Below are 14189 nucleotides of genomic sequence, written 5' to 3'. Positions count from 1 at the left end.
GAGGCAAAGTGTAGTGACAGCGTCCACCTCACTCTGAGTAGTGAAGTTCTCAGGAGGAGAATAAATACATTAGTGTCATTTTAGAGGTGTTCATTCTCTCCATTCAGCTGCATAATGCAATTATTTAGTAGTTCAGGATTCTTTTAATTCTGTTTGAAGAACTTAAGAGGTTAAGGGCTTGAAATGATAAATGCATTATTAATATTGCCTCACAGAAACATCCAAGATTATAATTTTTGAGGCAGAGAAAAGAAAAAAAAAGACTAATAGGTTTTTACTCATTTGTTCCCCCTAGTAAATTAACCTACCCAACCTGTGAGAAATGTATAAATTAGACATTATTAGAGAAAGTAATAATGGACCAAAAGCCATCATCTGAAGGTTTATTGATTAGCAAGACTCATGTGTACAACTTTAGTTTTTGGGTTTCTTCTTGTCCTAAATTCTGCACAACTGGAAAGAAAGGGGTTAACAGCAAGGGAAGCAGAAATTGTGGCTGGGTTCATACTAGTAAGGGTGCATTCTTCTATATGGTCTGATGTGATCCCAATCAGTCTATGTAACAGTCACAGAAGGCAAAGTGTATGGTGATAAAGAACATGGGCTTTGGAATCCAGTAGATCTGGGTTCAAATACTAGTTCCACCAACCATGAATTATGTCACCTAGGCAAAACTATGTTTTATTTTTCTCATCTACAAAAAGAGGTGAAATAATATCTATAGCATTTTATGAGAATTAACAGAGATCATACATTTAAATTAAGCATGTGCCCAGAAATTGTAAGCATGTAATAAATTAAAGCTATTAGTGTTAACTATTAGCATTATAATTAAAATTGGTATTAAAATTACTATTAGTATAGTATTAGTATTATTGTTTTAGAATATGTCCTACAATACCCATTTGACAGCTGAAATTTAGATGACTGAAGTGACTTACCTAAGATCATAGAGTTAGTTTGAGCCATAACCAGAAACATCTTACTTACATTTTTAAACAAATTTATCTTCTGTAGAGTTCAGCTACTTCAATCTGCAAACCTAAATTTCTTCTCAAGTTCTTATTCTAACTCTTCTTTTGGACAATAGTCACATACTGCTCACAGGGATTTTCACAGATGTTATTCAAGTATTTCAGAGAAATTGGCAAATCTCGCACAGTTACTATTTTTGTTAATGGATGCAGTCTTTCTCTGGCCATAATAGTGTATCAGGTGCTAGGTTTGTCATCCCATGGTAAACAACCATAAAACTAGACAAAATAATGGAGGAAATATGTTCAGGTGTTAGAAAATAGATAGAGTAAGACTGTGATCCTTCAGAGAAGATAGACATGTGAGGTTAGCCCATGTTAACCTCGGATTGTTTCCTTGGGATTTACCAAACCACGCCAGGGAGAAGTAGAAGCTAAACAGAAAAGTTAGTTTTGCTGAACAAAGAAAAGAGAATCAGAGTTTAGGGACCTGAAGTAACTAGAATTTTTGCTACAGGCTGTCAGAGGACAGAGCTGTGCTGTAGACAAGGGTTCACCACCGATCCTTGTCCATGAACTGGCTGCACTCATCCTGGGTGAAATTCCAAGGCCCAGTAGGTAATAGCTGCTCTAGAACTGGCTGAATGAAGACCTCAGAGGCTGCACTGACTTTGCTGATGCTCAGCTTTTAGTTCAGAGCCCATAAATGCCATTCTTTAGGCTGAGGCCCTTGCCTTAAGTAAGAGCCATACTGTATGACTAAAGAGAAACCACAATATATCTATCCTCCCTAATAAAGAATAAAATCAACCTGTTGTATCAGAAGGATCCAACAAAAATTTAACTCTGTATGAGAATAAAATTAAGCATCCTTTAAGCTTTAATCAAGATAGATAACATAATCCAGACACCTAGTTTCATCTGCAATGTCCAGTATATTATAGCAAATTACTAGACATTGGAAGCAAAAAAGCAACCATCAAGCAAATATGTAAATATTAAAAATTGTCCTTCAGATGATCTAGATATTGAAATTAAAATTATTATGCATGTGTTCAATGACGTGAGGGAAAGATTATTGTAAAGAGTGCACAAATAGGAAGTAGTAGCAGGAAAGAACAAAAAAAGTATAGAAAATAACTAAATGGATATTCTAGAACTTAAAATACAGTACCTGAAATTTAAAAAAAGGTACTGTATAGGCTAACAGTAGATTGGAGATTACAAAAGAAAGCGTTAGTAAACTTGAAGGCAAAGCAATAGAATTCATGTGTAGACCCTTAGAAATCATTTAAAATTAATAAATAGGTACAAAATAATTAAATAGGGAAAGAATTTTTTTCAATAAATGGTGCTGGGACATGTGGATATCCACATGCAAAAGAATCAATCTCTACCTCACACCATATACAAAAATTTACTCAAAATGGATAATTGAACTTAACTGTAAGAACTAAAATTAAAGATTACTTAGGAGGAAACATAATAAGAATAAGACTTCTTCTTCTTATTATTTTTTGATACAGGGTCTCACTCTGTTGTCCAGGCTGGAGTAGAGTTGCATGATCCAGGCAAATTGCAGCCTCAACCTCCTCGGCTTAAGCGATCCTCTCACCTCAGCTTCCAAAGTAGCTGGGACTATAGATGTGTGTGCTACCATGCCTGGCTAAATTTTAATTTTTTTTTCTTTTTTTTTTTAGAAATAGTGGTTCGATATGTTGCTGAGGCTGGTCTCAAGCTCCTGGGTTCAAGTGATTATCTTGTCTCAGGCTCCCAATATACTAGGATTACAAGTGTGAGCCACCACACCTGGTCTCTCAGAGTAAATCTTTATAAATTTGGATTGAGTGATGGTTTCCGAAGTCAATACCAGAAACAAAATCAACAAAAGAAAAAAATTGATAAATTGAACTATATAGAAATTTAAAACTTCTGTGCTTCAAAGAACACCATAAAGAAATTGAAAAGCCAACAAAAAGAATAAGATAAATAGTGTAGAAAGTATTTATCTAATAAGGGAATTGTGTCTAGAATATACACAATCTCTACTACTCAACAATAAAAGATAACACAAATTTTAAAATGGTTCATGAATTTGAAAAGATATTTCTCCAAAGAAGATGTTCAAATGACTAGTAAACACATGAAAAGATACTCAACATATTTAGTTTTTAGAAAAGCATAAATCAAAGCCACAGAGAAATATCACTTCAAACTCACTAGAAGGAATATAATAAAAACAGACAATGACAAGTGCTGGTGAGGATGTGAAGAAATTGGAGCCTTCATTTATTGCTGCTGGGAATGTAAAATTGTGCATCCACTTTGAGAAACACTTTGGTAGTTCCTAAAAATGTTAAACGTATCTTTACTATATGTCCTGGAAATTATTTTCCTAAGTATTATACTCCAAGAGAAATAAAAACATTCATCCACATATAAACTAATACACAAATTTATATACATATTATTTATAAATAGATAAAAATTAGAAACAACCCAAATATATTTCAACTAATGAATGGATACACAAAATGGAGTATCTCCATAAAATGGAATATTATTTGAAAATTAAAAATGAATTACGAGTGTTAAAGCTCTATTATAATTTTTTTGGTTTTTACTGAACCCCATCCTCCCTCAAAAATGAAATACTGATACATGCTATGACATGGAAAAAACCTGAAAACATTTTTCTACATGAAAAGAGTCAGTTACAAAAGACCACATATTAAATGACACTTACATAAAATGTCCAAAAAAGACAAATCCATGGAGACAGTTAATGTAAATCTATAAAAACAGATTACATTAATCTATAGAGACAAATAAGTAGATTAATGATTGTTAGGCCCAGGGGGAATGGTAAGGAGGATAGGCAGTGGTTGCTCATGAGCACAGCATTTATTTTGGAGTTGATGAAAATGTTCTAAAATTAGAGAGTGGTTTTGGTTTCAAAAACCTGCATATAGACTAAAAATTACCAAATTGTATAATTTGGAAGAGTAAATTTTATAATATGCAAATTATAACTCAATATTTTATATAACAGAGTTCCAGTGAACTATGACACAATATCAAGTAGTTTAATATGTGTGTAATTGAAGTACCAGAAATAGACAGATAATAAAACAGAGAAATTATTTGAAGGAATAAAGGCCAAAATTTCCCCAAAGATGGTGGAAATTAACTTACATATCCAAGTTCTTGGAACCCAAGCAGGATAAATACAAAAAGAAACATAGTTAGAAATTTCAGTCTATCTGATGAAATACAAATATGAAAAGGAACATCTGAAACATAGCCAGAGGAAAAATATTTAGTATATAAAGGAGATCCATACTATAAATGATATCTGGCTTCTCATCAGAAAGAATGGAAGCCAGGAAACAATGAAGCAGGATTGTTAAAATTCTCCAAAAGCAACTGTCAACACATATTTCTATATTCAGAAAAAAAAGTACCTTAGAAATGAGGATTGGATAAAAAAATTTTCCGAAAAACATAAGCTGAGAGTATTTGTCACAAGCAAACCTGCACCACAAAAATTGCTTAAGAATTTTTTTCTGGCTGAAGCAGAAATGGCATCAGATAGAATTTTAGAACTTCAAAGGAATGACAAGCACTGGAAATAGTAAAAATTTGGATAAATGTAAGAGATTATCTTTTATTGCTTTCCTTAATTTTTTAAGGACAACTGAAGACATAAATTTTAAAAAATAACTACATTTGAAGGGATTTATGACATATGCACATATGAAATATTGAACAATATTAGCACCAAAATGAGGCGATAAAATTATACTGTTGTAAATTTCTTACATTTTACATGAAGTCATATAAAATTATTCATAGACTTGAATGAAATAAAGATGTCTATTGTAATTTTTAGAGCAACCACAAAAAAGTAAAGAAATAGCTAAAAAGCAATACAGCAATTAAAAATAATGGAAAAAGTAGATTTATTCTAGGAAGACAAGAATGGAGGAACAGGAGGCAGCAGGAACAAATAAAAAACAAAAACATGACATTAGACTCAAATTCAACCCTACTAATAATTATGTTAAATGTAAATGAACTAATAACATGAATTAAAAAGCAGAGATTGTCCAACTACATACAAAACCCAGCTATATGTTGTCTATAAGAGATGCCTTTTAAATATATAGACCCAGTTAGGTTGAAAGTAAAAGGTTGGAAGAAGAAAAGATATGTGAAAGAAACATCATAAGAAATCTGGACTGGCTGTGTTACTATCAGTCAAAGTAGATTTCAAGATGAGGGATATTACTAGAGATAAAAATGTGTGGAAACCTCTTTTCAAGGTCCTTGTATTTCTATCAGTATTACAACCTCAAAGTTATTTCACATTCCAGATCATCCTATGTCTATAAAAAACCTTTACCACTTCTCATTCCTAATATAAAATACTCTGAGTGTAATTGCTCATGGTGCAAGATTTGTGGCTGAGGATCTTCTGTGTGTATCTTCTCTCAGCTTCCTCCAGGTAGGTGGACAGAGACATCTCTGATGTGCTAAAGGAGTTTCTCAACATGAGAGACTGCTTTGATATAGTCATGGGTCCTATAAACCATCTATTCAGAGTCCTTAATTATTTTATTTCACAAAAATGCTTCAAGCACTGTCTGTGTACTAGATAGTGAGGTAGGTTCTATGTATATAGAGGCAAGTTTGGTCAGAATCATGGTCTTCAAGAAACTTACAATCTGCCCAATAAGATTACACTGAAACATGATGTTTTACATTAATATTCTGGGCAAATTTGGGGAGAGATTACACTTTAGCTACTATTAAAATAAAACCTCCTTCAAAACAGTGTGGAGACTGATACTGCTTTTAAATTGGCAATGCCTGAGTGTGAACCAAACTGTTTCAAACTTTATCTAGTGTTCTGGTTTGAGTCACATTTGCAAGACAATTCCCACTTACTACCACCAGCCAACATAATTCATAGTCACATCAATCACATTTGTGTCCCTGTCTCTCTGTTCTTGTTCAACAAAGAGTAAATCCATCCTGTATCTCCTCTCTCTTTCTATGTCCATCACATTCCCATAGCCTACCAAGGCATAAGGCAATTGTCACTGTCTAACTCTAACTTTAAATGATACTGTTCATATTCTGCCTGCATCCCCTCAACACTCTCCTTCTTCATGTGGTTGCTTCCAATTGTTTGCACCTACAACTCTTTGCCCAAAGGTTCTTTCTAGTCACTAGAGCCACTAGTACCTGTTCTACTAACCAGAAGTACTGCAGAATTAACTGTGAAGGGAGCAATTCTCAATCAATGGCTGACAGGGCTTAGTGGAAAAATATCCCAGCTTTCTTGTCTTTCAAGATCACACAGAAGATTGTTTTACACTGTATCTGGACTTCTTCAGGGAGAATTTATCCCAACTTCCCTCAGTAATAAGCTGGTGAATTACATGTTCTTTATTGTCTTCCCTTTCTTGAGTTACTTCCACTTTCCTCCATCAGTGCTTCCTGAATTATCTACCAAATTGGCCACTTGGGGAGAGACAGGGTAAGGCCATGTTTGACTGCCAGCAAAGTAAAAGTATGATCAGAAGCTGGCAACTACAAAACAATGAAGGTGAGAGCTGGCACTTCCAAATATCTCACCCAAGAACCCAGAGGAGATTTTCAGAGCTTCTAAGACCTCCATATTAAAATCTCCAGAAGCCAAGTTCTGGGAGTCATTCAGGAGCTCCAACACCCCAGTGAGGCCTAGAGGGTATCTTGGGTATACCCTCTGCGTTATGCACAGATATACATATACATATACATATACATATATATATATCTTAGATGATCCTGTGCATGGCAGTGGTAACCAAGGTGCCCAGGGCGTTCATAATTTGGAAGATCTCATAGAGAAAGGACTGCATGTTTATAAGCATTTGTTAAACATGTTTTCTACCTCAAACTGTACCCGGATCTTTATATCATAGTTTGTTTCTGGAGTAACCTAACCTAAAATAATCCACATAGAGAGGCAGAAGCTATTGTTCTTTGCTTGTAGTTTAGATAAAAAAGCTTGAGTCTCTTTTTAGATCAACTGTCAACACAGATATCTATATTCAGAAAAAACATACTTCAGAAATGAGGATTGGATAACAACAATCCTCAAATCCAAACAAATTTAGGCAAGTACTCCACTCCAACTCTTACTATCTGTGTGGCCTTGGACAAATTAATGAATTCATGACTCTGTTTCTGTAATCACCTATATCTCCTGCAAATGACTGCCGTACAACACAAACTATTTTCAGCCAGAAAGGGAATTTATTTATTCACATACCCCAAAAGTCAAGAAGCTTTGTATACTGTCATATGTGGCTTGATGTAGCCACTCAAATAATGTTATTTCTTATTCATCTCTGGGTTCTGATATCCCCTTGCCAGCTCTATTTCCATTTGATTTTTATTTATAAGTAGACAAGATGGTACATGGCAGGTCCAGACTTAACTATTCTTTAAGTGCCTAGCCTCTCTAGAAGAGAGAGAGCCTCTTCACCAATAGTTTTAGCAAAGCTTTGAGTTATAAAAGGAAACCCTGGGTAAAATATTCAATCCAGGTAGATGTTCTACATTTTAGGCCATGCTTGAATTAGGTCTCTACACCTGAAGCCTACAGTAGTGTCAGCCCCACAGAAATCATATGGGTTAAGAATGAGAGAAAAGAATTTCCCAAAGTAAGGATCTCTTTTATGAGGTCAAAAGGAGAGAACAGATGCTGGCAAGGAGAAATGGATGGGTTTTGCTAATACAATGACCTCAAAAGGCGGTGTGAGAGTTAAGTGAGATAATCCTTTTAAGCTCCCAGTACAGGCATACGCTAGGTGCTCAATCTTTGATCACTGTCATTATTATCAATCATATTGAACAGAGCATAATTTTCTCATTTATTAAGTACATAGAAAAAGACACACCCCAAAAGATTGCTGGGAAGATTTTAAATGATATCTGAAAATCTACGTTAAGTTTTAGTGTTTTTTCCTCCTCATTACTTTCTCAAAGCTGGACCTCTCACTCCCCACCGCTATGATAAACATTTGTTAAATGAATTATGAATAAATGAACACATGAATAAATTAATGCATATAATCCCAAAATGCAGGGTGACTTTCATACACCTCAAATCTCATTGCTCAGGGGTTATTTTTCACATAGACTATACCTCATCTTAGAAAAGTCACCTTTCCTGTGGTTGTCTCCAATTTGAGGCTCTATTTCAGGGTATACTCTGCACAGGAAAGTAGTTCTGAGCCCATGTTACAGAATCTTCTTTTTTGGATTAGTTTCCTATAAAGGAAAATATCCTTTAAGATGCTGGATACAGGAAATGCTGGAGCGAGAGACCCTGAGTACAATGCACAGAGGCTTGGCGTATCAGCAGTGATTCAAGGCATCATTGCCCACCCCAACCTCCATCCCCATTCACTCAGCATTAGTACCTGGGATTCAGTTGTCCCCTGGACAGAAGAAAGACAGAGGAAGGTTTTGATGCTTCCTTTAAAAATAAGATACATTAGTTAGGCATTTTATTTTCATTACATGAAGTAAGCGTACTTGTCTCAGAGAACTCAAACAATCACCTACAGCCAACAAGAAGGGAAGGCATGATTTGTGGTTTGCAGAATGCATTTTCTATCTTGTACTGGTCATAGATTAATTTCACTCTGGCACAGCAAGTGCCACGATGACAAAATCATTTAGCCTTAGTGCTTAATGCAAAGAAGGGTAAAATAGAGGAGCACATGAGGCTGAGGGCATATGGACGATGCTCTTGCTGATGTCTCCTTTAGTGTCTGATTTCAATGCCATATCATTCTGACCACATGGTAATGTTTCACAAGCTTCTCCAGTTAGAGAAGCACAAATATTGTAAAATGATTATAGACAAAAATGAGCCCCAAATTCCTATCACCGTGACTTAGTAAAATGTAAAATAATGAAACAGTAGCTGCTATGAGCTGAATTATATCTGCCCCCTCCCCACCAAAAATTTATATGTTGAAGTCCTAAACTCCAGTACCTTGGAATGTGATTGTACTTAAAGACAGGGCCTTTAAAGGAGTACGTAAGTTAGAATGAAGCCATTTATTTGGGTGTGTTCTACTCCAATCTGACTGGTGTTCTTATAAGATGAGAAATTTTGGACACAGAAAGGTTCACTGAGGATGTGCATGCAGAGGGAAGACCATGTGAAGCACAGCAAGAAAGTGGCCATTTGCAAGCCAACAGAGAGGCCTCAGAAGAGACCAAATCTTCCAACATCTTGATCTTGGACTTTTAGCCTCCAGACCTGTGAGAAAATACATTTCTATAAATTAAACCACTCAGCCTGGGATAATTGTTTTTTATGACAGGTCTAGAAAACTAATACGGTAGCTACCAATGATTGAGCACTTACAGGATTCTAGTTATGATACTAAATGCTTTTATAGAGATATCATTTAAATCCAACAGTAGTCTTGAGAGGTATTATAGGTTTACATATTTTCTAGATGAAGAAACTGAGTTTGTGAAAGAATAAGCAATTTACTCAAGGTCATGCTAAAAGTACGTGGTTCTAACCAGATTATCTAACTCTCTCCTTGGAATCTTCCCTTGAACATCTGAACATGGCTAAAACCAAGATCAAAGTCCATTCACCAAACTCAGTATTTTCCTCCAGTGTTCTCTCCACCAAAGCACCAGATTTATAAGGCAGAATTATTTTATTGCTGAAACCTGACATCCTTCAACTCGAATCCATCGTGATATCTTGTTTATTCGACTTTATCTTCTCAAACAGTGGCTAACACAATAGATAATAAGATATTACTAACTTTGTAGAGGCAGAACTGATATGCTTAGCAATGAAATTAATGGGCATTGGGGATACATTACAGGGAGGATCAAAGATTATACCAAGATTTTAATTCAAGGGTCAAATAGAATTTTGGAGAAGTTCACTGAGATCAGCCCTAAAGGAACTCATCAACCCACAAAATGCTTCTTCCTCTGTTCCCACCCAGAGGCTGAGATCTCCATGTCCAAGAAAACGGCCCTGGTTTGGACCATCACGTCTCATATGGGTTAGCACGATGTCTCTCTGGCCTCTCCTCACCTTCTCTAATGCACTCTCCACTCTAGCCAGAATAATCAGCTACCAATTCCCTTTCAAGTCCTTCATGGACTCTCCCCACTGGATAAAAGTCAGATATATGGCCCACATAATCATATTGACTTCTCACTCAAGCTTTAAATAATGTCCAGACAGAGACACTGGGCAAAGAACTTGATTAATTTGATGAAGGCTTCAACTCCAATCATGGCACAGTTGCAAATCCACAGGTTGCTCTTTTTCTGTTACACTAAGTCAATTTCCAGGAAGCCTGGTTTAATATGACAGTGATATCCAGAATTTACTTATTTTCACTGGGGCATGGAAGAAATCATTTTAGGTAGGACTCCCAGAGACCAGATTTTGCCTCTTCTACTATGAGTTTGAAGACAAGCCAGGTCTCCATAACTTGGTTGTTTCCTCTGTAAAATGTAGTGTTTGGGGTACTGATCTCTGTGAGTCTTCCATGCTCCATAAAGAAATTACAACATCACTTGCCACGTTGTTGAAAGGAAACAAGAAGATCTCAGGATGAGCTAGAGAACGAAGGAAACAGAGTCAGGCAGTGAACAATTTGAGAGAAACACGAGTACTGAAAAAAGAATGTGTGCATGCACTGCCTCAGAAACCAGGGACAAAACACACTTGGGCTTTTCACCACCCTCTGAGTTTTTTCTACACTTGCCCAAGGAAGGCCAAAAATAAGAGCTAATTTTTTTCCCAGAAAAAAAAGGGATAGAACCAGGCCTCAGACACACCTCTTCCCATCCGGACTGAGCCCAGATCCACCCAAGTGGGTGTGGTCATGAGGACTAGGCAGTTAAAGCCAGATGTCCACCCTTTCCATCAGCATGGATGCCCTTTGAAATCACACTAGGCACTAGGCACAGCTGTTTTTGTTTTTTTTTTCTTTTTAAAGAACTCCCTAAAAAACTAGAATCAGATTCTGTAAGCAACAAGTTATCTTGGAAAGCAGCTGGAAGCATACACCCATTTCTCCAGTGAGAAAATGAGGGCACAGGAAAGTTGGATGACACATGGAGAATACCAGGATCTCTTGTCCCAGTGTATGTATGAGTTATTGTTAGGGTAGACACCCAGTCTCATACACTGTTCTGGTTCTTCCATCGGGAAATTGGGGCTCAGGATTAATCATCTCCTACTTTTGAATAGCTATTTTCATATTTTATAGCAGGCATTGGTCACATCAGTAGTCAGGCATTTAGTGGACAGCAGAAAAAATAACCAGGGAATAAAACATAGAAAATAATAATTTGAGTAATTGTGTGCATAACTTCTGCTTATCCTATCTTTTCTCTGGGTGTCACTTCTGGGGAAATGTGATTAAATAATCTCTAAGAATCATTCCAGCTCTATCTGTCTAAGACAGAGAACAGGAAAGCAAGATCCCTCATGGCAGTCAGGGAAGCAGCCCAGCCAGGAACCCAGGTGGCTGTGGACCCTGGGCAGCTCCAGGAATGAGGGGCCTGGCTACTGCATTTCTGGAGCATACCCCTCTCCTCATTTTCCAAGCCCTGTGCCTTCTCTCTAGCCAAACAAACACAGCTGAGAGTTCTGGAACTGAGCTGCAAAAAAAATCAGCTCCTGACATCTTGCCCAACAAGCAAACAATGGTGAAAAAGTTTCTCATTGTCGCTTGGTATTAATAACCTATTGATGAACCAACCCACTTTCCCCATCTAATCTTGTGGGCCTTGCCACCATTAATTATCAAATATGAGTTATAAAATTTCAACTTTCTGTACTATATAAAAAATTAGGCTTAATAACTGTTAATATCTTAATAAACAACACAACTTCACAATCATTAATAGCTCAATGATCATAACAATAGCTGTCATTTATAATGCAGTTTCTAGATTCCAGACACATTGCCAAGTGCTTTTACACGTATTGCTTTATTTAATTCATTTTAATATTAGGAATTAGATTATTCTATGATTTCCATTTAACATATGGGGAAACTGAGACTTAGAGAAGTTAAGTAAACAGCCCACAGTCTCACAACTAAGAAGTGTTAGAATCAAGATTCAAACTCAAATTGACCTGTCTTCGAAGACTACTGTCTAAACTGCACTGACTTGTAAGCTAAAGTTGTATGCCTTCAGAATTCAAAGGCATTTTTCTGTTTGTTGTGCCTATGCTTGTTAGAATGAAATTATCTACTGCGTCTTTCCACTTGCTTTGGTCAAGTTCACAGATCAACACACATTTCCTGATCTGTGATTTTGCGCATCCATCTCTTCTACCAGTAATCAAGCAACAGAAGCACCTGACGAGTTATTCTCTTAAAGGATGGGGTCAGATCACACCAGCCTGCAACTCCAGCAGCTGGAGAGACAGAAGCTCAGATGTTCAAGATACTGAGGCTGAGTTCCCTTGGAGAGGCAAGGAGAATCCCAAAGGCAGGAGGAACAATCCTGGAAAGCTCCAGGTGACATCTTGCATCAAAATCCTGTAGACTTAAATTATTTTTGGCTATAATACTGCACAATCTACAGAGTTTAGTGGGGCAGCTGAGCCAGGAACCCAGGTGGCTGTGCACCCTGGGCAGCTCCAGGAATGAAGGGCCTGGCTACTGCATTTCTGGAGCATTCCCCCTCCTCCTTTACTCAAGTTCTATGCCTTCTCTTCAGCCAAATGGACACAGCTGAGAGTTCTAGAACTGAGCGGAAGATGAAACTGTGGGAGAGGAAGGGCGAAGCATTTCCCACAACTCATCATCCAGAACTGTGTTATGTGGACATCCCTACTTCCAGTGGAGCCCAAGAAATATCTATATGGCAGATGAAGTCAATGTGGAGAAGGGGACCAGTAGTATTATCAACCCTTGTATGGGTTCTGCTCCTCTTTTTGACAGAAACCTCGATAAAATCCTCAAATAATGAGCGATGTCATCCATGTGACATGTAAACATGCCCAACCCAAGAGAAAGTCAGAAAATGAGAGCCTGCAGGAATGTGGGAAGGTATGAGTTTATCAGGATGAACAGGGTATCTGAGAATGACCTAACTGTGTTTACCTATCTAAAATCTAAACACAAGCCACAGGGTGATCCATCACTGGAAACAGATACTTAACTCAGTCATACAGTGAGAAAAGGTGGGAAACATGGACCTTGTTTATTCCATATTGCACTGAATATACAAAGTTCCCATATCCTGCAACAGACAGAACGTGGTCCCGAGCAGAAAAAGGAAACTAATGGCAGTTTATGTAATGGGTCTCTTCTGTGGAAGTGCCACTGACCTGGAGGATGTACTATATTCCATACTCTGAGAGGTGTCCTCTGATGTGGTGGAGGATTTCATCTACCTCTTACAGTCTAGGAGAAACAGGTCTCAAAATTATCTCATTAAGCCACCAGCTGAAGTTCCGGTTGATTTTCCACATGCCTAGAATAGGTACATATTGGTCATGGAGAAAGAAGTTTCTACAGTTCAAATGACTAAATTATGATCAAGTTTATACATTGGTATCCTGTAAACTTGGTTGATATAAATTAATTTCCTAGGTATGGCCAGCTGTGGATGTCATCACAAGGCCAAAGACAAGACAATCCCTTGGACTTTGCTGACTCCATCAGATGACATTGCCGCTTACACACACACACACACACACACACACACACACACACACACTGGTTTTGTCTGTATGGCCAATTAACCTCCCTAGATGAAACATATCTGTGCCTGGCACTTCTTCTAATTGTAGCATGAGACAGACTCAGGCTTAATAATAGAAGGAAAGACTCTAACACAGTTACAATTGCCCAAACATGAAACACATTGTCTGGGGAGGCCCTGGGTTCTCTTTCCCTTGACATGGACATGTATTGTTAGTATATTGTGGAGAGCTTCCCAGCACCGTAAGAGAATGAACGTGAAATTCCTCTTGCCTCTGAGGTGTTAAGGTGTCTGGAAATTTTTTACTTACATCCTCTCTGAGCCTATTGCAAACCTTAGGAGCAATTAGATGGGTGTGTTCATTCATCCATTGACTCATTCAGTCATTATTTTATTGATTTGGCTAATAAATATGTGCATAGTAAATATGTGCAC

At 37.2% G+C, this 14189-nt stretch overlaps 1 long non-coding RNA gene across 1 annotated transcript in view; it reads right to left on the bottom strand.

The window, feature by feature from the left end:
- LOC124903780 (uncharacterized) overlaps window positions 1-14189 on the bottom strand; it is a 161687-nt gene that overhangs the window by 128484 nt on the left and 19014 nt on the right. Inside the window, exon 2 of the long non-coding RNA XR_007065224.1 lies at window positions 13378-13523. This is a non-coding gene — a long non-coding RNA (uncharacterized LOC124903780). The remainder of the gene's footprint in view (window positions 1-13377; window positions 13524-14189) is intronic.

This window comes from Homo sapiens, chromosome 16 (genome assembly GCF_000001405.40).
Source record: "Homo sapiens chromosome 16, GRCh38.p14 Primary Assembly".
Taxonomy (NCBI): Eukaryota; Metazoa; Chordata; class Mammalia; order Primates; family Hominidae; genus Homo; species Homo sapiens.
The sequence above is the reverse complement of the archived record's forward strand: the minus strand, read 5'-3'. Positions and strand labels throughout refer to the sequence as shown.